General features: G+C 41.9%; 1 protein-coding gene and 2 long non-coding RNA genes across 4 annotated transcripts in view; 1 reads left to right on the top strand and 2 right to left on the bottom strand.

The window, feature by feature from the left end:
* Positions 1-1892, bottom strand: part of LOC124904268 (uncharacterized) — a 42640-nt gene extending 40748 nt beyond the window's left edge. Inside the window, exons 1-2 of the long non-coding RNA XR_007066314.1 lie at positions 1857-1892; positions 1045-1119 (exon numbers count right to left, since the gene is read on the bottom strand). This is a non-coding gene — a long non-coding RNA (uncharacterized LOC124904268). The remainder of the gene's footprint in view (positions 1-1044; positions 1120-1856) is intronic.
* OSBPL1A (oxysterol binding protein like 1A) overlaps positions 1-24225 on the top strand; it is a 235780-nt gene that overhangs the window by 35857 nt on the left and 175698 nt on the right. For both annotated transcript variants that reach the window (XM_017025530.2, NM_080597.4), the window contains exon 5: positions 20310-20421. In XM_017025530.2, coding sequence (XP_016881019.1) covers positions 20310-20421 — 112 coding nt within the window. The remainder of the gene's footprint in view (positions 1-20309; positions 20422-24225) is intronic.
* LOC124904267 (uncharacterized) overlaps positions 1938-24225 on the bottom strand; it is a 33436-nt gene continuing 11148 nt past the window's right edge. The window contains exon 3 of the long non-coding RNA XR_007066312.1: positions 1938-1976. This is a non-coding gene — a long non-coding RNA (uncharacterized LOC124904267). The remainder of the gene's footprint in view (positions 1977-24225) is intronic.

Here is a 24225-nt window from a genome sequence, read left to right as displayed (position 1 = left end):
TGGAGTGCAGTGGCACGATCTCACTTCACTGCAATCTCCGCCTCTCGGGTTCAAGTGATTCTCCTGCCTCAGCCTCCTGAGTAGCTGGAATTACAGGCATGTGCCACCATAGTGTGTATTTTTAGTAGAGACAGGGTTTCACCATGTTGGTTGGCCAGGCTGGTCTCAAACTCCTGACCTCAAGTGCTCTCAATCCCAAAGTGCTGGGGTTATAGGAGGGAGCCACTGCACCCAGTCTGTAGTCTGTGTCTTAACTCTGCTACTAAGTTGCATTAATCTTGCTAGCAAGGAATTATCATGTCTTGTTTTTTGTGTCCCCATGAGCACAAGGTAAGTTTTACCTCCCATCTCTGTAATCACCTAGATCAAATAAGTTCATTTATCTATGTTCAGCTCTTTACATATTTGGCCATTTCTGCTATTTTCTTGAACTTTGAACGTGAGACCATGCTAAATTGAGCCTTAGTTTGACATGAGCATCAGCATATATACAGTAAGTCCTCACTTAATGTCAATGATAGATTTTTGGAAACTAACTTTTGGATAAACGATGTATAAGGAAACCAACTTCACCATAGGCCAATGCATATAAACAAGAGTTAAGTTCCTACAGAATAATTATAGTCACAAAAAAACATCACTGCCAGGCATAGTGGCACATGTCTGTAATGCCAGCACTTTGGGGCGCTGAGGCAGGTGGACTGCTTGAGCCCAGGAGTTCAAGACCAGCTTGGGCAACATAGGGAGACCTCACTTCTACAAAATCAAAAATTAGCCAGATGTGGTAGCATGCATCTGTAGTCCCAGCTACTCGGGAGGCTGAAATGGGAGGATCACTTGAGCCCAGGAAGTTGAGGCTGCAGTGAGCCGCAGTTGTGCCACCACACTCCAGCCTGGGCAGCTGAGTGAGACTCTGTGCCAAAAAAGAAAAGAAAATTACCACACTTCTAAATGAAGAGCAAACACTTCTGATATTAAACATTGAAATAAATGTGAGCTATTCATACATTTAGAAACATTAGTAAAAACAAGATAATTATTTACCCATTTATTCCAGTTCAGGTGTGAGGGTGGCTGGAACCTATCCCGGCAGCTCAGGGAGCACAGGGGGATCCAGGCCTGGAGAGGATGCATCTTGTCACAGGGCCACTCACATACACACCCACACTCACACTGGGACAGTTCAGACATGCCTGTTCACTTGCTATGCACATCTTTAGGAGGTGAGAAGAAAACAGAGTACCTGAGATACCCACGCAGACACAAGGACATGTGAACTCCAACAGACATTGGCCCCCTCCAAGAATCGATTTTTTTTTCTTGTGAACATTGCAATGAAATGATGTTGAATGAAATGGTGTTGTTTGAAGATCTGCTGTATTTTGTTATCTGTTGTCTTAGAAAATAACATTTAGCTGAAGTTACATGATTGTGTTATGTAGGAAACATTAAAATTAAAAAATGTATGTGCTCAATATCTAAGCATGACTGAATTGTGCAAAGAGTTTGGTTTCTAATTCTCATGAAAAGAATCAAGTTATCTCATTCCTATGTGATCATTTACCATGAAGATAATTTTAAAATATCTTATGATCCTGTGATTCAGTAAGTAGAATGTTGAGTTGAAAAGGGATTTGGCTTATTATAAAGCACTTTAAACTCTTATCCTCTGGAATATTTAAAAAATGCAGCTCCCCAGCTTGGCACGGTGGCTCATGCCTGTAATCCCAGCACTATGGGAGGCCAAGGCGGGTGGATCACCTGAGGTCAGGACTTCAAGACCAGCCTGGCCAACATGGTGAAACCCTGTCTCTACTAAAAATACAAAAAAATTAGCTGGGCCTGGTGTCGGGTACCTGTAATCCCAGCTACTTCAGGAGGCTGAGGCAGGAGAATCACTTGAACCTGGGAGGCGGAGGTTGCAGTGAGCCGAGATCGCGCCATCGCACTCCAGCCTGGGTGACCACAGCGAAACTCTGTCTCAAACAAAAACAGAACAAACAAAAAAATCATGCAGTTCCCCAGCTCTTGAGGCACCTTTGGGCTTTTCTTGGTACATTAGTGCCCCCTAGTGTTCTTTGGTAAAAATCAGAATACCAGAATTTTAAAATACTGTGTTTAGTATTTGTTCCTTACTTTACTTTCAGATGCAGTTATAAAGTTTTTATGCCTTTTATAATCAATTTAAAATAGGAATATGGTATGTATAATGAATATTTGGATTGTTGCACTGACCTTTTAGCAGAATTGAGAATACTTTTATTTTTTTTTAATTTTTATTTATTTATTTAGATACAGGATCTCACTCTTTCACCCATGCTGGAGTGCAGTGGGGCCCTCATAGCTCACTGCAGCCTTGAACGTCTGGGCACAACAGATCCTTCCACCTAGAACTATACGCGTGCGCCACTGTACCTGGCTAATTTTTAAAAATCTTTTGTAGAGACAGGGTTTCACCGTGTTGCCCAGGCTGGTCTTGAACCTTAAGCGGTCTTCCTACCCCAGCCTCCCAAAGTTCTCGGATCACAGGCATGAGCCACCACGCCCAGCTGAGAATGCTTGTAAAACACATGCTTCCAGAGCCGGGTGTAGTGGCTCACACCTATAATCCCAGCTACACAGGAGGCGAAGGCAGGAGGATCGCTTGAAGTCAGGAGTTAGAGGCCAACCTGGGCAACATAACAAGACCCCCTCTTCCCGCCCCCCACCATATCTCTCTCTTTCTCTCTCTGTCTCTGTCTCTTTCTCTATAGACAGGGTCTCGCTCTGTCGCCAAGGCTGGAGTACAGTGGTGCAATCTCAGCTCACTGCAACCTCCACATCCAGAGCTCAAGTGATCCTCCCACCCTAGCCTCCCCAGGAATTAGGACCACAGGCATGTGCCACTGTACCTGGCTAATTTTCTGTATTTTTTGTAGGGACAGGGTTTTGCCATGTTGCCCAGGCTGGTCTGAAACTCCTGGGCTCAAGTGATCTGCCTGCCTTAGCCTCCCAAAGTGCTGGGGTTATAGGCATGAGCCACCGTGCCCAGCCAAGACCCCATCTCTAAAAAACTCAAAGCTGGATGTATGGCATGTGCTTGTAGTCCCAGCTACTCTGGTGGCTGAGGCAGGAGGATCGCTTGAGCCCCAGGAGTTTGAGGCTACAGTGAGTGAGCTATGATGGCACCACCGCACTCCAGCTTGGATGACAGAGCAAGACCCTGTCTCTAAAATAGTAAATAAACAAATACAATAAATGCTTCCTATGTTCTGTGTCTCAGAAATTCTCTCTATCTCACCTAACATACAGAATATATGTATAATCCTGGGCTTTAGGATTTCCTAGGAGACCATTTCTCATGTTTATGTATTGAAGGCCTACTGTGTTTCAGGCGATGCCCAGACAACTTGACACGTATCGTTTCATTTGATGGAGAATGACTGCCTTGAAATATATACATATAATTTGTTCTAGATCTGTTCTCAGGGAAGCTGAGATGGAGATGAGTGGGCAGCAGGTTTATGGAGTGCTCGTGGCATCACACCTGTGCACGAGGGTGGGGAAGAAGTGGACAGGAGTGGACAAGTCAAGTAGTGCTGCCGGCTCAAGCGATGCCTCAGCCTTTCTGCTGTGTGCGAAGCTTTGCAGAGGAGATGATGCTTCAAAGTTGTCCCTGTTGGGGATGAGCAGCCAGGCCTTTATACACTGGGACAGTCAGTCATGGATACGTGGATACTCTGGAAACCCTCATCCCTGGAGGTCTGAGCCCCTGGATACCATGCCCTTCTTAGGCTGGAGTTGCTGCCCTTGTCCATTTACCATAAAAATTGGACAAGAGAATACCAGGACACACCTGAGTTTCTCATCGTATGCTAAACCTGTTCTTCCACGTACATCCCCAATGTGTACAGCCCTACTTTTTTCTGCTGATCAAGTTCAATTACTTCTGCTAAGATGGTGACTATTCTTGCCTGCTGGTCCTTGGATGCAAGGACCCCAATGTTCAGGCAGCCTTTGGTGCCTTCTAGCATACGAATCAGAGCATTATCTTTAGGTGTGGAATAAGCTGCCCCAAAACCTGTTGAAGCCAACCAGGCACTGTGCTCCCTTCTGTTATGGGAAGTGCAAGATGCAGTAATTTATTCTTCTGAGGAAGTGTCTTGTCATTGCCCAGACCAGTGAACTTCTAAAAATTTACTGACATGGAAAAGCTCCTGAATTCTTCCTAAGTTTTACCTCCCACCCACTGGATCAGATATGTCTTACCAAGGCTTTGAACATCCTAGCCTCGTGGAGAAGAAGCCTCTTCTCCTGGTTCTGTTAGCATGATGTTATGAAAGGAAATTAAATTTTGGGACCCCAAACTCATTTTGCCAAAGGGAAAAATCAAGCTGAGAACTGGGTCATGCAAACCTGCCTCCCCCTTTTGGTTCCTAAATAAGGTGGCTACAAGAGGAAAAGCTACATGCCTCCCCCATATTTTGCTCACAAGGAAATTCCTAGTGAGCAATGCAAAGTGATAGCTTATCTTTACAGGTGCAGTCACCCAGGCCCACCACACGCAAATGCATATCTAATTGTTCCCCTGCCCCATTTTGTCTGTGTTATGTAGAATGCAGATTCCCTACGTTTTTCTTCTGCCCCGTTTATGTCATCTTATGTAAAAACATGCAGATTCATGGAGCCAGACAAAGGCATGACTATCTTTTCCCACCCACCCCCTTACCTGAAAATTGTGTACTTCTCAATATCCTGCCCTTTCCCCTTTAAATTTGAAGCCCTCAAAAATCATCTTCAGAGAAAGATGTCTGTCTCCTGGGTGCGTGTCCTTAACTTTGGCAAATAAATCTAAAATGATTGAGACTTGTCTCATCATTTTTCTTGATTGACAATGTTATTGATAAAGTGGACCAGTGTGATTTGCTGCCAGATTCCCAGATGGCATGAGGCGGAAGCTGTACATGTATACTCTTGTCCATGTGAATCCAAACTGTCTTTGATTTTTTTTCCTAATAGGGATAGAAAAGGTACATTTGCCCTATCGGTTGCTGCTTACCATGTACCTGAGGTGGCAGAGTGGCTATAATTGGGGTCACTATTTGGTTGAGTTTCTGGAAGTTCAGTGTCATCCTCCACATTCCATCTGGGTTTTATAGTGGCAGATGAGTGAATTCAATGGAAATATGATAGGGACCATGGCCCCTGCATTCTCTTAGGTTTTTAAGGGTGGCACTGATTTCTGCCATCCCTTCCCATATGGGATATTGGTTTTGATATGTCTTGGCCATGGCTGGGGGTGAGTAGCCACTTCCATTTGGCTCCTATACAATAGACCAAGATGGCAATGTGAGGGTTGTACCAACAACTAAGTGTGTCTATTCCAATTTCATATTCAGGGACTAGGAGAATGACCACTAGGTGTATTTCTGGACCCAACCAGCACCCGCACCGTGAGCCAGACCTCAGCCAGGGCGCCATTTATCATCTCACTCCCATGCATGCCCCCTTTCTAACACAGGGGCCTCATGACATTTTGGATCTCTTGGTGTCAGTGCCAGTTTGGACCTTAGATCTAACAGCTTGTGAGATGTCTTGGTGATCCGCTTTCTCCACTGTATAGTTTCTTGAGTAAATGATCATTGGTCCCTTTGGGAATGGTCGGGGGAATTCACGACAGTTCATGTTTGCTTTGGTGTTGCAGAATCTTTCCCTGGAGGATCTGGCCTCTCCTTCAGTAAATAGTTCTATGTCCAAAGTTGACTCAGGTCCAGAAACTGGACAAGGTATCATAACTTTTTTTTTTTTCTTTTGAGATGGAGTCTTGCCCTGTTGCCTAGGCTGGAATGCAGTGGCGCGATCTCAGCTCACTGCAACCTCTGCCTCCCAGGTTCAAGGAATTCTCCTGGCTCAGCCTCCCAAGTAGCTGGGATTACAGGTGTGTGCCACCATGCCTGGCTAATTTTTCTTTTCTTTTTTTTTCTTTTCTTTTTTTTTTTTTTTGAGACAAGAGTCTAGCTCTGTTGCCCTAACTGGAGTGCAGTGGCATGATCTCAGCTCACTGCAACCTCTGTGTCCCGCGTTCAAGCAATTCTCCTGCCTCAGTCTCTTGAGTAGCTGGGATTACAGGCGCATGCCACCATGCCTGGCTAAGATTTGTATTTTTAGTAGAGTCAGGGTTTCACCATGTTGGCCAGGCTGGTCTTGAACTCCTGACCTCAGGTGATCTGCCTGCCTTGGCCTTCCAAAGTGCTGGGTTTACAAGCGTGAGCCACTGCGCTCAGCCGGTATCATGACTTTTAATGGGGTGACTCTCTTCTGCCTCTTACCTTTCACTGTTGATATCTTTTGATGGTGCAGATTGAGTTGTACTTGGATGGGTCCTAGGATCAGGGAAAAAGAAATGGTCCCCATTAAGAGATGTCAAGAGGCCAGAAGTGCCATGAAAGACAGGTTTTTTGTTGTTGCTGTTTTTTGTTTTTTGTTTTGAGATGGAGTCTCGACCTGTTGCCCGCGCTGGAGTGCAATGGTGCAATCTCAGCTCACTGCAACCTCCGCCTCCCGGGTTCAAATGATCTCCTGCCTCACCCTCCCAAGTAGCTGGGATTACAGGTGCCTGCCACCATGCCCAGCTATTTTTTGTATTTTTAGTAGAGACGGGGTTTCACCATGTTGGTCACGGTGGTCTAGAACTCCTGACCTCATGATCCTCCTGCCTCGGCCTCCCAAAGTGCTGGGGTTACAGGCGTGAGCCTTAATAAGTGGGCATGCTAGATTGGCTGTAGTATGAAGTCCAGAAAACATATCAGGTAATTAAATGCCATGGAAGGGCTTAGAGGTCCTATCATTTACCAAAGCAGAAGAAATTGCTGGTGAGAAAGGCAACAGCCTCACGGAGAAGCTCCCTGGCAATTCCCCTTCAGGGTCTGGGGCTGCTGTGAGAATGCCACTGTGGACCTGAGTTCACTGACAGCAAGGGGTGGTGTGGGGAAAGTGATTGGACCCCAAGGCAGTAGAAGCCAGGAGAGGCAGCACTTAACCATCAGGAGCCAGGGGGGCACAGTTATGGTAATGAGTGGCAGGTTCAGCAGGGAACAGTGGGAGGGCTGACCTGCAGAGTTAAGGAAACGGTTAATAGAACTCAGCATTCTGAAGGGCAAAGTTAGATGGACAAATGGTAGCAGATACTACTTTCATCATCTTTTTCTTTCTTTCTTTTTTTTTTTTTTTTTTTTTTTTTGCTATATTGAGAAACTACTGCCTTGTACTACACTGATGTCATTATACAGCTATTGGGTGCTCAGTTCTGTTTCTTCTTTTTTCTTTCCTTTTTCTCTTAGAGTTTGGCTGATTTCTGCTGACCTGTCTTCAAGTTTACTGAACGTTCCTCAGTGGTACTCTGATATCTACTGATGAGCCCATTGAAGGCATCATTTATCTCTGTTGCTATGATTAGCTGTTGCTATGGTTACTTCCAGTGCACCTCAGGCTTCACCTTCCTTCAGTTTCCAAATTCGGTGTTACCTCTGCAGAGGGCACAGGCTGATTCACTGGAAGGTGTTCCCCCGTGTTCCTGCTTCACCCTCAACCTTAGGCCTGCCTTGTGTGCCTCAGCGGGTTCTCTCCACACGTTGGCTTCTGTCCGCTAAGAGACTGCTGTTGCCTGTTCTCAGTAGTTGCTAGTCTTGGGGTAGGAGTAGAGGATGTGAGCTGGGGGTTCTCTGTTATCTGGGTCTAGCCTCCATCCTAGTTCTGTGTCCTTGCTTAAGGGGAAGGAGACCTTGAGGTGGTTCTTTACCACTTCCAGAAGTACCTACTTTTAATACTGTTAGTTTTAACTTGAGTTTTTTTTTTAACCTCCTGTTTATAGATAACATAGTTGTCACTAATTGTTGTTTTTCTTTTTTTAAATTTTATTATTATTATACTTTAAGTTTTAGGGTACATGTGCACAACATGCAGGTTTGTTACATATGTATACATGTGCCATGTTGGTGTGCTGCACCCATTAACTGGTCATTTAGCATTAGGTATATCTCCTAATGCTATCCCTCCCCCTCCCCCCACCCCACAACAGGCCCCAGTGTGTGATGTTCCCCTTCCTGTGTCCATGTGTTCTCATTGTTCAATTCCCACCTGTGAGTGAGAACATGCGGTGTTTGGTTTCTCGTCCTTGCGATAGTTTGCTGAGTATGATGGTTTCCAGCTTCATCCATGTCCCTACGAAGGACATGAACTCATCATTTTTTATGGCTGCATAGTATTCCATGGTGTATATGTGCCACATTTTCTTAATCCAGTCTATCATTGTTGGACATTTGGGTTGGTTCCAAGTCTTTGCTATTGTGAATAGTGCTGCAATAAACATACATGTGCATGTGTCTTTATAGCAGCATGATTTATAATCCTTTGGGTATATACCCAGTAATGGGATGGCTGGGTCAAATGGTATTTCTAGTTCTAGATCCCTGAGGAATCGCCACACTGATTTCCACAATGGTTGAACTAGTTTACAGTCCCACCAACAGTGTAAAAGTGTTCCTATTTCTCCACATCCTCTCCAGCACCTGTTGTTTCCTGACTTTTTAATGATCGCCATTCTAAGTGGTGTGAGATGGTATCTCATTGTGGTTTTGATTTGCATTTCTTTGATGGCCAGTGATGATGAGCATTTTTTCATGTGTTTTTTGGCTGCGTAAATGTCTTCTTTTTAGAAGTGTCTGTTCATCTCCTTCGCCCACTTTTTGATGGGGTTGTTTGTTTTTTTCTTGTAAATTTGTTTGAGTTCATTGTAGATTCTGGATATTAGCCCTTTGACAGACGAATAGGTTGCAAAAATCTTCTCCCATTTTGTAGGTTGCCTGTTCACTCTGATGGTAGTTTTTTTTGCTGTGCAGAAGCTCTTTAGTTTAATTAGATCCCATTTGTCAATTTTGGCTTTTGTTGCCATTGCTTTTGGTGTTTTAGACATGAAGTCCTTGCCCATGCCTATGTCCTGAATGGTATTGCCTAGGTTTTCTTACTAGGGTTTTTATGGTTTTAGGTTTAACATGTAAGTCTTTAATCCATCTTGAATTAATTTTTGTATAAGGTGTAAGGAAGGGATCCAGTTTCAGCTTTCTACATATGGCTAGCCAGTTTTCCCAGCACCATTTATTAAATAGGGAATCCTTTCCCCATTTCTTGTTTTTGTCAGGTTTGTCAAAGATCAGATAGTTGTAGATATGCAGCATTATTTCTGAGGACTCTGTTCTGTTCCATTGGTCTATATCTCTGTTTTGGTACCAGTACCATGCTGTTTTGGTTACTGTAGCCTTGTAGTATAGTTTGAAGTCAGGTAGCCTGATGCCTCCAGCTTTGTTCTTTTGGCTTAGGATTGACTTGGCAATGCAGGCTCTTTTTTCGTTCCATATGAACTTTAAAGTAGTTTTTTCCAGTTCTGTGAAGAAAGGCATTGGTAGCTTGATGGGGATGGCATTGAATCTATAAATTACCTTGGGCAGTATGACCATTTTCATAATGTTGATTCTTCCTACCCATGAGCATGAAATGTTCTTCCATTTGTTTGTATCCTCTTTCATTGTTGTTTTATTTTTCTAATTTTAGATTTTCTGTTGGCTTATCTCTGGAAGATAAGCAATTTTTTCTGCTCTTTGTCTCTCCCATTCTTTTTGTTTGTTTGTTTTTGAGACAGGGTCTCACTCTGTCACCCAGGCTGGAGTGCGGTGGCACAATCACTGTTCCCTGGAGCCTCAATCTCCCGGGCTCAAGCGATCCTCTGACCTCAGCCTCACAGCTAGGACTACAGGCTCATGCCACCATGCCCACCTAATTTATATGCTTTTTGTAGAGACGAGGTTTTGCCATGTTTCCCAGGCTGGTCTTGAACTCCTGGGCTCAAGTGATCCCTGCCTGAGCCTCCCAAAGTGCTAGGATTACAGGTGTGAGCCACCGTGCCAGCCTGTTTCTCCCATTCTTAATCCTTGCCAAAGCTACTTCACCTTTTTCATTCTCTTAGCCTATGACTAGATTTTGGTTAAATAAATATTGAGTTTATGTTATTCTGACTGTGCTAGCTTGAGCCACTTAGGGGCCTATGTTTGTTTGTTTTGGTATAACGCCTTATTTTTTCTGGAGTTAACAATTGCAGGCTGGGCACAGTGGCTCACGCCTATAATCCCAGCCATTTGTGAGGCTGAGATGGGCAGATCACCTGAGGTCAGGAGTTCCAGACCAGCCTGGCCGACATGGTGAAACCCCATCTCTACTAAAAATACAAAAATTATCTGCGCATGGTGGCACACACCTATAATCCCCGCTACTCAGGAGGCTGGGGCAGGAGTATCACTTGAACCTGAGAGGCGGAGGTTGCAGCGAGCCAAGATTGTGCCATTGCACTCCAGCCTAGGTGACAAGAGCGAAACTCTATCTCAAAACAAACAAACAAACAAACAAACAAAAAACAATTGCATGGGGTTTCTTAGTTTAGTTCTTTTTCTCATCACGTAATTTTAAAGTCTTTGTAAGAGCTCCAAAGGTCTTTTTACTGTCTTTTACTATGATCATATATGTCATGTAATTATCCCTTCTGGGAGCAGCTCTCCTGATTTTTTTATGTCTTTTTTTTTTTTTTTTTTTTTTGAGACAGAGTCTTCTCTGTTGTCCAGGCTGGAATGCAGTGGCACGATCTCAGCTCACTGCAACCTTTGCCTCCCGGGTTCAAAGGATTCTCCTGCCTCAGCCTCCTGTGTAGCTGGGATTACAGGTGTGTGTCACCACACCCAGCTCATTTTTCTATTTTTTAGTAGAGACAGGGTTTTACCATGTTGGCCAGGCTGGTCTCGAACTCCTGACCTTAAATGATCTGCCCACTTTTGCCTCCCAAAGTGCTGGGATTACAAGTGTGAGCCACCGTGCCCAGCCTGATTTTTTATGTCTTCTTGCTCTGCCTAGACTAGTTGGCCTCCAGAGCTGTACACATGGTGGTCATTCTGGAGCTTATGTCTTAGTCATTCTGGGAATTCTCTTCACCACTTTCTGATATTGGATTTCCTGTTTCCTGGGCCCCATGTCTTCCTCCATCTTGATTTGTCTGTCATTTGGTGGCGCACAGCCTTCAGGAGCTTCTTGAGAAAGGTTGCATGGGAAATATTTTTTTTGAGAATTCTTATGTCTGGAAATACCTCTTACCTTTGTATTTGAGTGATAGTTTGGCTATGTATAGATTTCTAGGTTGGAAATCACTTTCTCTCAGAATTTTGGAGGTATTGTGTCACCGTTTTCTAGCTTTTAGTGTTGTTGTTGAGAAGTCTAGTGCTATTCTTATTCCTGTTCCTGTGTGTGTGACCTGATTATTATTTAATCACTGGAAGTATATAAATTAAAATTAGAATGACAGGCTGGGCTCAGTGGCTCATGTCTGTAATAGCAGTGCTTTGGGAGGCTAAGGAGGGAGGACCACTTTAGGCCAGGAGTTTGAGGCCAGCCTGGGCAATATAGTGAGACCCTATCTCTACCTACCCCCACCCCTAAAAAAAGAATGACAGATAACCTAATACAGTGACTTACAAAAAAAGTTAGTTTATTTCTCTGTAACCTAAAAGTCTAGATAAGTGGTCTTGGGCAGGTGGCAAATACTCAAATACTCAGATTTCTTCTGTCTTAATGTTCTACAATGTGTGGCTTTGACCATATCATCCCAATTGGGAGCATCCCAATCCCAGGAAGCAGGCTAGGGGAAGCAAAAAAGGGACAAAGAATATATACAGACTGCCCCTTCTAGAAGATTCCCAGAGGCTGTTATATGAGACTTCTGCTTAATCCCATTGACTCGAATATTCATGGCCACACTAGCTAAAGGGGCCACACTAGCTAAAGGGGAGCGAGGAAATGTAGTCTTTATTCTTGGTGGCCATATGCCGAGCTAAAAAATGTTCGGGGTCAGATGGGATCTTCCCTTCACCCTTGGTGTCCTAGAATTTTACTGTTTACCTTTAGACTTTTAAACCTGCGAATTAGGTTTCTATTGCTGCATAACAAATTACCATAAATTTAGAGGCTTAAATCAACACCCATTTATTATTTCACAATTCTGAAGGTCAGAATTCCAAGCACACAGCCTAGCTGAATTCTCTGCTCAGGGACCGTGAAGACTGAAATTAAGGTGTCAGCTGAACTGTGTTCTCATCTGTGGTTGGGGGCTTTTTGCAAGTACACGCAGGTTGTTGGCAGAGTTCACTGTTGTTGTTTTTTTTTTTTTCTTTTTTCTTTTGCAAGGGATCACTCTCAGCTCTTACAGGCCACCCTCAAATCATGGCCACACAGCCATATCTGGACTTACTCACACTTCTCATCTTCTTTGCCAGGAAGAGGCTAGCCCCTTTTGAGGGCTCACTTCAATAGGTCGTGTCTGCCTGGGATATTTTTCTTAAGGTTGACTGTGCCATGTAACAAAACCTAACCAGGGAGATGTCTTCAAGTCCGTCTTCTAGTCTTTCTATTGCATATTTTATTTCTGCTGTTATTTTTAATGGTTAAGAATTTTAACTTTTTGACCGGATGTTCATTTTTTAATAGCATCCAATCTTGGTTAATGAAGAAATTTCTCACTTCTCTGAGGATATTATAGTTCTTTTAAAGGTTTTCTTCCACATTTTCATGTCTTTCAAACTTTTTTTTTCTTGTCTGTCTAGATCTTTCTCCTTTGTGCTAGTCATATGTCAGATCTCAGGTTGTAATTGGCTATTGATTCATATTTAATATTGACACTTTTCAAAGCCTATAGAAGTTATGAGAGCATGAGTAAGACTTTTTTTTTTCTTTGAGACAGGGTCTTACTCTGTCTCCCAGGCTGGATGGCAGTAGTGTGATTACAGCTAATTGCAGCCTCGACCTCCTGGGCTCAAGTGAACCTCCCAGCTCAGCCCCCCAAATAGCCAGGACTACAGGTGTGCATCACCATGCCTGGCTGATTTTTAAATTTGTTGTAGAGAAAGGGTTTTGACACGTTGCCTAGGTTGGTCTCGAACTCCTCGGCTCAAGTGATCCCAGACCTGGATCTCCCAAAATGCTGACATTACAGGAGTGAGCCACCGCACCTGACCATGAGTGAAACTTACTGTTGGGCTTCATTGTGGGGTGAACTTTGTTCAGTTTGTATAGTAGACTGTGGTGTATCTTTTACCTTTTTGAAGGCTTTTTTCTTTTTTTTCTTTTTTGAGACAGTCTCAGTCTGTTGCCCAGGCTGGAGTGCAGTTGTGCGATCTTGGCTCACTGCAACCTCTACCTCCCAGGTTCAAGCGATTCTCCTGCCTCAGCTTCCCAAGTAGCTGGGATTATAGGTGCGCATCACCATGCCCAGCTAACTTTTTATATTTTTAGTAGAGATGGGGTTTCACCATGTTGGCCAGGCAGATCTCAAACTCCTGACCTCAAGTGATCCACCTACCTCAGCCTCCCAAAGTGCCGGGATTATAGGCGTGAGCCACCATGCCTGGCCTGAAGGTGTTTTTATGTATTGTATAAAACATATTAACCTCTGTGCCTCAGGTTCCATATCTTTAAAAAGAGGTGTAATAATAATAATACCTTCCTCGTATGATTTTTGTGAAGATTAAAATGAGTTTAATAAAAGTAAAACTTTAGAACAGTGTCTGATACAAGTAAATGTTAATTAAATATTGAGTATTATTATATTTACTTGGAAATAATTGTTTAAGTCTTTAATCTGGCCTTAAATTTGGTATATCTTTGATTTTTCTCAGGAAAGAACTAATATATTATCTTTTAAGTGGATATACATTTATTGTTGATATTTTTCAATAAAAATTTGGGTTTTAGGGGATACTTTCTTTATTTGCCAAAGTCTAGGGAGTTGTATTTCCACACATATGGGCATTGGATTCAAACTTACCCTTTCAGGTAACCATCTTTTGGTAGCTGAGTTTTTAAATGTTTTAATATATTATCCTGCCCTCTCTATAACAGTATATCAACATGATTAAACCCCAAAAAGGTGTTCTCTTATTTCCTTGGAGTTGTATTAATACGAGTTGTACGACTCATTATTTAAACCATTTTTTTGAACCTCTCTTTGTAGTCTCTAGGAGTTCAATAAGCATAATTCTTTTTTTTTTTTTTTTTTTTTTCAGATGGAGTGTCGCTCTGTTGGCCAGGATGGAGTGCAGTGGCATGATCTCGGCTCACTGCAGCCTCCACCACCCGAGTTCAAGTGATTCTCCTGCCTCACCCTCCCGAGTAGTTGGGATTACAGCCATGCACTACCATGCCCGGCTAATTTTTGTATTTTTAGTAGAGACGGGGTTTCACTATATTGGCCAGACTGGTCTCGAACTCCTGACCTCATGATCTGCCTGCCTCGGCCTCCCAAAGTGCTGGGATTACAGGTGAGAGCCACTGTGCCCAGCCCAATAAGCATAATTTTTAGAAATTATTTCTCCTTTCTAATCTTGAAACCTGAAGCCTGCATTAAGAAATTGCTTTACGGCCGGGCGCTGTGGCTTACGCCTGTAGTTCCAGCACTTTGAGAGGCCAAGACGGGCGGATCGCCTGAGGTCAAGAGTTCAAGACCAGCCTGGCCAACATGGTGAAACCCCCATCTCTACTAAAAGTACAAAAATTAACTGGGCGTGGTGGCGGGCGCCTGTAATCCCAGCTACTCGGAAGGTAGAAGGCTGAGGCAGGAGAATCGCTTGAAGCTGGGAAGCAGAGGTTGCAGTGAGCCAAGATCTCACCACAGCACTCCAGCCTGGGTGACGGAACAAGACTCATGTCTCAAAAAATAAAATTACTTTACAAGAAGTAAAACTTTTCATGTGGTATTTCTGTTGAAAGTAGATACTTTTATAGAAAAAGTATATCTTTCAAAATCAATACGGGAACATTCATAGCAGCATAATTCCTAACAGTTAAAAAGGAGAGACTGAGTTTGGTGGCTCACATCTGTAATCTCAACACTTTGGGAGGCCAAGGCGGGAGGATTGCTTGAGGCCAGGAGTCCAAGGTCAGCCTGGGAAACATAGCAAGACCCTGTCTCTACAAAAAATGAAAAAAAAAAAAAATAGCTAGGCACAGTGGCATGTGCCTGTAGTAGTCCCAGCACTTTGGGAGGCTGAGGTTGGAAGATCTCTTGAGCCAGGAGCTTGAGGCTGCAGTGACTATGATCATGCCACTACACTCCAGCCTGGGCAACAGAGTGAAACCCTGTCTCTACCTAAAATAAATAAAAATAAAAAGTAGAAATGACTCGAATATTCATTAGTTATTTAATAGATAAACATGTGGTATAGTCATGCAATGGAGTATTATTCAGAAATCAAGAGAATGAAGTACTGATACACACCAAAACATAAATGAACCTTGAGAACATGCTAACTGAAAGAAGCCAGACACAAAAAGCCACATATTGTTTGATTTATTTATAGAAATGTCCAGAGTAGGCAAATCCATAGAGACTGAAAGTAGATTAGTGGTTACTAGGGGATTATGAGGAGGGGAAATAGGCAGTGATTGTTAACAGATATGGGGTTTCTTTTTGTAGTGATGAAATGTTCTGAAATTAGATAGTGATGATGTACAACTCTATGAATATACTCAAAGCCACAGAATTGTGCACTTTTAGCAGGGTGAAGTTTATGGTATGTGAATTACACCTCAATAAAGCTGTTATTTAAAAAAAATAATCTGGGCATGAGGATTTTTCTCTAAGCATTTCATCTGAGATGACTTGTGTGATGGTGACAGCAATATAATGGCTCAATAAGGGAATGACTGACTGCTGAGCGGAAAGTGGAGCTGGGGCGATTTGGGAGCGTGATTCACGGCTGTGTTAACTTTGTTCTTTGCCCTCACCCGTGTGCTGCTGGTCCAAACATACTCTGTGCAGCCATTAAAAAATAAAAGTATCATGCTCAAAGTGAATACTTTACTCCTCTGACTTTTTAGTAGTTAGTTGTCAAATTGGCCAAAGTGCTGTCTTAGCCAGGAATATTTTCAGTAAAACATCTTTATTCAGGAAAAAGTATTCAAAAACAAATAGCATTGCTCTAGGGGCAGGGAGTATAGCAATGAACAAGAGACCAAATACCTTTTTTCATAAAAGAGGAGCAAACAATACAGGCATTTAGAAGTGCTATGAAAATTAGTAAGGTAAGGGGATGAGAGTTTGGGAGTGGATAATGCTACTTTAGACAGTGAGTGAGGAAGGCTTCTCTGAGGAGGATGCTTGGATTTAAAAAAAATTAAAATATATCTACATCTCCTTTATCAACTACTTTTTTTTTTTGAGATGGAGTCTCGCTTTGTTGCCCAGGCTGGAGAGCAACAGGACAATCTCAGCTCATTGCAACCTCCGCCTCCTGGGCTCAAGCAATTCTTCTGCCTCAGCCTCCCAAATAGCTGGGACTACAGGTGTGCGCCACTACGCCTGGCTAATTTTTTTATTTTTAATAGAGACGGGTTTCGCCATGTTGGCCAGGCTGGTCTTGAACTCCTGATCTCAAGTGATCCGCCCACCTCGGCCTCTCAAAGTGCTGGGATTACAGGCGTGAGCCACAGTGCCTGGCCTTTCAACTTCCTTAACACCTGATTATTTTGACCCTTTCTAGTCTGAGTCTGGCTCTCCCAGTTAACTTAATTTTTTTCCAAAGGTCGGCAGTGGTTTATATACTTTAAGAGTTTCTGTTTTCTTATTTTTCCATAGCTACACTTTAACGAGGCTGACTACTTCTCTGGGAGGAGGCATGCTACAGTTTATTTCTCTGGCTGCTTTTATGATTGTTGCCTTTTTTCCCCCTTACCCTTCATTATAGATGTTCTTTTGATTTTTTTATTTTTTTTTAAACATTCTTCTCAGCTGGGTGCAGTGGCTCATGCCTGTAGTCCCAGCACTTCGGGAGGCTGAGGTGGGCAGATTACTTGAGCTCAGGGATTCGAGACCACCAGCCTGGGCAATATGGCAAAACCCTGTCTCTACAAAAAAATGTAAAAATTAGCCAGACATGGTGGCACATGCCTGTAGTCCCAGCTACTTGGGAGGCTGAGGTGGGAGGATCACTTGAGCCCAGGAGGTCAAGGCTGCAGTGAGCCGAGGTAGTGCCACTGCATTCTAGCCTGGCTGACAGAGCTAGACCGTCTCCCCCCAAGAAAACAAAAACAAAAAATCCCCCACATTCTCTTTTCTTTTGAAACTTTCCCCCTCAACAAACCAATCTACTCTATGGCCTTATTTTCTCCTCCTGGGATTCACTGGACGTCGGCACTTTCACCTGTTGCTCAGCTCTAGGCATCCAGGTCCTCTGCTCTGCTGCATGCTGGGCGTCCCTAGCTGCCCCTTGGGCATCTGAAACTTCACGCACCTAAAATGGGCCTCATCTTCCTCCAGCACCTGCTCCCTACACAATATTTGAGTTGGTCTTTGAATAGTTTTCACTGCAAATCCTCCTTTCTGCTATCTCCACTGGAGAACATACCCATCGTGTTTAACCTAGACTTCTTATTTTATTTTATTTTATTTTTTGAGACAGAATCTTGCTCTGTTGCCCAGACTGGAGTGCAGTGGCATGATCTCCACTCACTGCAACCTCTGCCTCCCGGGTTCAAGCAATTCTTGTGCCTCAGTCTCCTGAGTAGCTGCTGGGACTACCGGCATATGCCACCATGCCCGGCTAATTTTTGTATTTTTGGTAGGGACCAGGTTTCACCAGGTTGGCCAGGCTGGTCTCAAACCCCTGGCCTCAAGTGATCCGTCTGCCTCAGCCTCCCAAAGTGCTGGGATTACCTTCGTGGGCTTATTGACCATTTGTACATCTTCTTTGGAGAAATGTCTATTCAAATTATTTGCCCATTTTTTAATCTGGTTATTTGTTTTGTTTTTGAGTTTTAGACATTCTTTGCATATTCTGTATATAAATCCCTTGTTAGATACATGATTTGCAAGTATTTTTTCCTGTTCTCTGGGTTTCCTTTTTCTCTCTTGATAGGGCCCTTTGATGTACAAAAGTTAAAGTTTGATGAAGTTTTTCATTTTTTGCCTGTGCTTTTGGTGTCATATCCAAGAAATCATTGTTAACTCAGGCCTTGTGAAGCTTTCTTGGTATTTTTTCTTCTAATAATTTTAATAGTTTTAGTTTTGACATGTTTGACCTATATCGAGTTAGTTTTTGTGTATGGTGTAAGGTATGTGTTTAACTTCATTCTCCTGCATGTGGTTATTCAGTTTTCCCCATACCATTTTTTGAAAAGACTGTCTTTTCTGCATTGAACTGTCTTGGCACTTATGTCAAAAATCATTTGACCATATATCCGAGAGTTTATTTCTGGGCTCTCTATTCTGTTCTGTTGGTCTGTGTGTCTATCTTTATGCCAGTACCACATTGTTTTGATTATGGTAACTCTGTAGTTAGTTTTGAAGTCAAGATGTATCTTTAACTTTGTTCTTCTTTTAAATATTATTTTGGCTTTTTGGGGTCCCTTGAAATTCCATGTGAATTTTAGGATGGGATTTTCTGTTTCTGTAAAAATGTCGTTAGTATTTGATAGGGATTGCATTGAATCTGTAGATAGCTTTGGGTAGTATTCTCCTCTTAACAATATTAAGTCTTTCCATCCATGATCGCTGGATGTTTTCCCATTTATTTATGTCATTTTACATTTCTTTCAGCAGTGTTTTGTGCTGAGTCTTTTGTGTATAAGCCTTTTGTCTTCATGGTTAAGTTTATTCCTAAGCATTTTATTCTTTTTGATGCTACTATAAATAGAATTGTTTTTCTTGGTTTCCCTTTTTGGATTGTTCATTGTTGTCTTTGCCCATTTTTAATTGGGTTGTCTTTTTATTATTGAGGTGTAAATGTTCTTTATATATTCTGGATACAAGTCAAGAGACTTGTATTTGTAAATTTTTTTTTCTCATTCTGTGGGTTACTCTACTTTCTTTAATTAATATGAACTATTTAGGTAAAGCATGAAAACATGAGCCCCAAAATGTTACCTTTAAGATGATAGAAAATGTTAAGATATTTTATAAGAATTCACTTTATTAAAATATTAGGATATTTTAAAAAACCATTTTCCTGTTTTTTTAATGTGGTAGTACATTTTATATAATAATACTCAAATATGAAAAATGTGTAAACACCATGTACTGTACTGGGAAATGTAGCTATAAAACAATTGTGGCATGTAAGTAAAATCATGTTACGAAAACTCAAATTTTGCCTAGGGAAATTGATTAGTAAGAAATATGCCAAAATGTTTATAGTGGTCATAAAATGATGAGGGTAATAAGTATATGTATTTTTTGCCTGTTTATGTTTTTTAGATTTTATTTAAGCATTTTTTGCTATGAAAACATTCTAAAAGAATGTAGGAAATGGACGTCATGGCCCAAAGGAAAGATGAAATTCCTAGGACAGCATAACGTGTAGCAACACAGGATATCACTTCATATTTTACAGGCACTGTCAGTCTAGAAGTTAGAACAGCACAGTTTTTCAGCCTCCCTTAGTGCAAGACTGAAGAGCAAGCATTGCCATCATCCCCTCCCTAGGTGTTGTGTATCATAAGATAATCAAACATCAAATTTCTAATACTGTCCGCAATATCAGAAATTCTGTTCCTCCATTTCTGCTGTCTTGTTAAGTTGTATAACTGGCCCAGTGATACTGGACGTATGTACATTATCATTTGAAATTTCCATAAGAGCAGCTAGCCACTTAGAGTAAATAAAAATATGTAATATATTATCTATTGTTGAATATTGACTCCAGGAGACTGTCGTGCTTATCTAATGCTTAATGATAATGCTTCATTATAAACCATTCCTTCAATAATGGTGTATCCCATCAGTCAATAATGGTATATCACTTTAGAAAATAATGCTTTATTTTGTTTAAATATCAAGATTAATTTTTAAAAATCTTGGTCTGTTGGGCAGAAATTATATTTCTCAACAGGCCTTAGAGGAATGATCTTCAGTGAATGTACTTCCTTCTCTAATTTGAATATTGGCTTTGTTTACTAATACATTTAATTTGACCACATGAATTATTTTGGCAAAACAGCCAGATAGTTTACATAAAAATCAATTATAGAAGTTGGCTATGTATCAATTGTGGATTGGCAATTGTTTAGGCAGTTGTCAAGTATTATCACAATTAGTTGAATCACTCATTTATTATAGACATAACGTGATACATTCTCACCTGGTGCTTTTTTCTATTGTGGAGACTCTGTAGTAGTTAGTAATTTGGAAAAGGGTGGTAATGCAATAAAATCTTAGCTTAATAGTTAAAAATAAATTCTCTGATTTTTAGGAGTTGGTAATGCTTCTCTTAGAATATAATGCTGATACTACTATTGTTAATGGGAGTGGACAGACAGCAAAAGAAGTTACTCATGCTGAAGAAATCAGAAGCATGCTTGAAGGTAAATATCATGGATGTGAACATAAACAGCATTTACTTTCATTATAACCAAGGTTCTGACTAAAAATGGCTTCTGAGAAAGAGGACAAAACAGAGGATAACCAGCTGATGCTCTAATGATAATGTCATCTTGGAGTCATTGATTAAACACACAATTATCTATATGATAGTTTCTTCACTTAAAGCTTTTAAACTCTTAATTTGTACAAAATTATGGCAAGTTTTAAAAATCTGTTTTTCAGGCTGGGTGCGGTGGCTCACGCCTGTAACCCTAGCATTTTAGGAGGCTGAGGCAAGAGGATCACTTGAGGTTAGGAGTTCTAGACTAGTCTGGGCAACATGGCGAAACCCCTGTCTCTACAAAAAATTTTAAAAAAATTAAAAATTAAGTGGATATGATGGTGTGCACCTGTAGTCTCAGCTACTTGGGAGGCGGAGGGAGGAGGATTGTTTGAGCCTAGGAGTTTGAGGCTGCAATGAACCCTGATTGAGCTACTGTACTTTGGTCCAGGCAACAGAGTGAGACCCCCCAGCCGAAAAGTTTGTATTTTGGGCCTCAGAAAAAATATCTGTTTTTCAAATACTCAACAAAATTCAAAGTAGAAAATTAGAGACATGAGGGAATGTGGCTAATAGACTGATGAAACATGACAATGAAGGGATACAGAAGTGCAGGACAGTAAGAGGTGGCAGTGCAACCTGTAAGAGGTGTTGCTTTTGGGAGTCACTTGATGTTGGCTCTGGCTGCCTCAGTTTTCTTTTTGCCCAGGCTGGAGTGCAGTGGCATGATCTTGGCTCACTACAACCTCCGCCTCTTGGGTTCAAGCGATTCTCCTGCCTCAGCCTCCCAAGTAACTGGGATTACAGGCATGTACCATCACACCCGGCTAACTTTTTGTATTTTTAGTAGAGACGGGGTTTCAGCATGTTGGTCAGGCTAGTCTTGAACTCCTGACCTCAGGTGATCTTCCCACCTTGGCCTCCCAAAGTGCTGGGATTATAGTCCTGAGCCACCGTGCCTGGCTCGCTATTTATTTATTGAGATGAGGTCTCACTATGTTGCCCAGGCTGGTCTTGAACTCCTGGTCTCAAGCGATCCTCCCATCTCGGCCTCCCAAAAGTACTAGGATTACAGGTGTGAGCCACTGTGCCTGGTATTCTCAGTTTTCTTGAGGACTTCATTGCAATATACCAGGCAGCAGTAATTTCTTGATGGTTGAGCTTCATTGTTATGAATGTCAAAGACTAATTTGCATTTAAGAAAACATGAGTCTACAATAACTCAGGACTTTCTCTAAAGCAATTTAAAACAAAAACCATTTTGATGCTTGCATTTGGGCACCCTCATACAATAGGATCTTTCTTTGAATGGCCAGGGCTTTCCTATAATTATTTTTTAGTAGTATTTCTAATGTTGAGAAGAGAAGATCTTTAATTTTCTACTTAATGAGTAAAGGTACTGAATTAGAGTTGCAATTTCACACATAGCCTTTCTTTCCTTTGGAATTCAGAGAAAGGCAATATAATTTTGTACTTAAAGGATGTTGATTTCTTAATTTAAATTTTCAATATTTTTATTTATGTAAAAACCAAGATCCTGCTGTTTATTACCCCGATTAGTCTTGAGAGCTAAAATCTTCTCACTCATTCTATAGTTTAAAAAACAACACAAAGTCTACTTGTCAGACTTCTTAAGGTCAGTGTCTTGTTTCTGCACTCAAAATGAACCCTCTGCTTATCAATGAACAAGCAAATTAACACATAACATCTTCTATCAGACACTGTGTTATATGAATTTAGTAACGTGGAGAACATATTAGCTGTGGTTCCTGCCCTTTAATAATTTGTGACTGAATAGGGAGGATGAGGTACTGTCTTTAATTATGTCCTGTCATTTTAATTATAACAAGAAGAGAACCCAGAACTGAGGTTTTCCTGACAGACTGGAATGTTAGGTTAGTCTGACAAGTTGACATTTAATAAGGGCAATTGTAAAGACATGCTCTAAGACATTTCCAAACTCAAACTGCACAAGAAAAAGGGCTTAGTTGACTTTACAGGTAATATGATTTGTCAGCTGATGTGGTCTTAGCTTGGGAAACAGAAGTAGAGACTGAATTGAGTGATTCTGCTCTAATGAGAGCACCTTACCCACATATAATAACATTTGTGGATAGAGTGTTAAATGGATCATTGGCAAATTACTGGAAGTACCTTGAGTAACCCACTATAAGTAGACCATAAGACCATAAATAGATCAGAAACCATGTCATAGGGGCTGGGCGCAGTGGCTCATGCCTGTAATCCCAGCACTTTGGGAGGCTGAGGTGGGCAGATCACTTGAGGTCAGAAGTTTGAGACCAGCCTGCCCAACATGGTGAAACCCCATCTCTACTAAAAATACAAAAATTAGCTGGGCGTAGTAGTGGACACCTGTAATCCCAGCAACTCGGGAGGCTGAGGCAGAAGAATCACTTGAACCCGGGAGGCGGAAGTTGCAGTGAGCTGATTGCACCACTGCACTCTAGCCTGGGAGGGCCAGGTGCAGTGGCTCACACCTGTAATCCCAGCACTTTGGGAAGCTGAGGCGGGTGGATCACGAGGTCACAAGTTCAAGACCACCCTGGCCAAGATGGTGAAACCCCGTCTCTACTAAAAATACAAAAATTAGCTGGGCACGGTGGCAGGCAGTTGTAGTCCCAGCTACTCAGGAGGGTGAGCCAGGAGAATTGCTTGAACCCAGGAGGTGGAGGTTGCAGTGAGCCGAGATTGTGCCAGTGTGGTCCAGCCTGGGTGACAGAGTGAGACTCCGTCTCAAAAAAACAAACAGAAAAGAAACCATGTCATAGGATAATGCATGGAGAGACAAGAAATGTTTTACCCTAGAAAGAGAGACATAGGCAGGCACAATGAAATTATACTCAAGTACCTGAGAGCTGTTACTTGGGAGAAGGGATGATCTTACTTGTGGCCAAACCAGGGCTGTTTGATTGCCTAGTTGATGGAGTAGCAGGGAGTTTATCTTTGGGTCCGATATATAGAAATAATGACTTGGATTGCCTTGAAAGATACATGATGGGAGGTATTCAGCAAAGGATAGACTATTGTTAGGCACTATTACTAACGCAGCCTTCTTCTACATCTTGTCTTTTTATTTTGAAAAATTTCGGCCGGGCACGGTGGCTCATGCCTGTAATCCCAGCACTTTGGGAGGCCAAGGTAGGTGGATCATGAGGTCAGGAGATCGAGACCATCCTGGCTAACACGGTGAAACCCCGTCTTTACTAAAAATACAAAAAAAAAAAAAATTAGCCAGGCATGGTGGCAAGTGCTTGTAGTCCCAGCTACTGAGGAAGCTGAGGCAGGAGAATCACTTGAACCCGAGAGGCAGAGGTTGCAGTGAGCCGAGATTGCGCCACTGCACTCCCGCCTGGCCAACAGTGAGACTCTGTCTCAAAAAAAAAAAAAGAAAGAAAAAGAAAAATTTCTAATCTATGGGAAAGTTTCAAGAATACTGCAGTAAACATTTGTATGTCCTTCACTCAAATTCACCAATTATTAACATTTTGCCATATCTGGTTGAGACTGTTACATATTTTATGTTATTTATTTACTTTTAATTTTTTTGTTGAACTATTTGAGAGTAATTTGCAAACATAGTGATACTTCACCCCTAAGTACTTCAGTATCTCTTAAGAACAAGGATTATTTTCTTACATAATCAAAATATAGTGCTCGATTTCAGGAAAATTAACATTAACATAATATTATATAATATATATTTTTATATTCAGATTTAGCCAGT

Source organism: Homo sapiens, chromosome 18 (genome assembly GCF_000001405.40).
Source record: "Homo sapiens chromosome 18, GRCh38.p14 Primary Assembly".
Classification (NCBI taxonomy): Eukaryota; Metazoa; Chordata; class Mammalia; order Primates; family Hominidae; genus Homo; species Homo sapiens.
The sequence above is the reverse complement of the archived record's forward strand: the minus strand, read 5'-3'. Positions and strand labels throughout refer to the sequence as shown.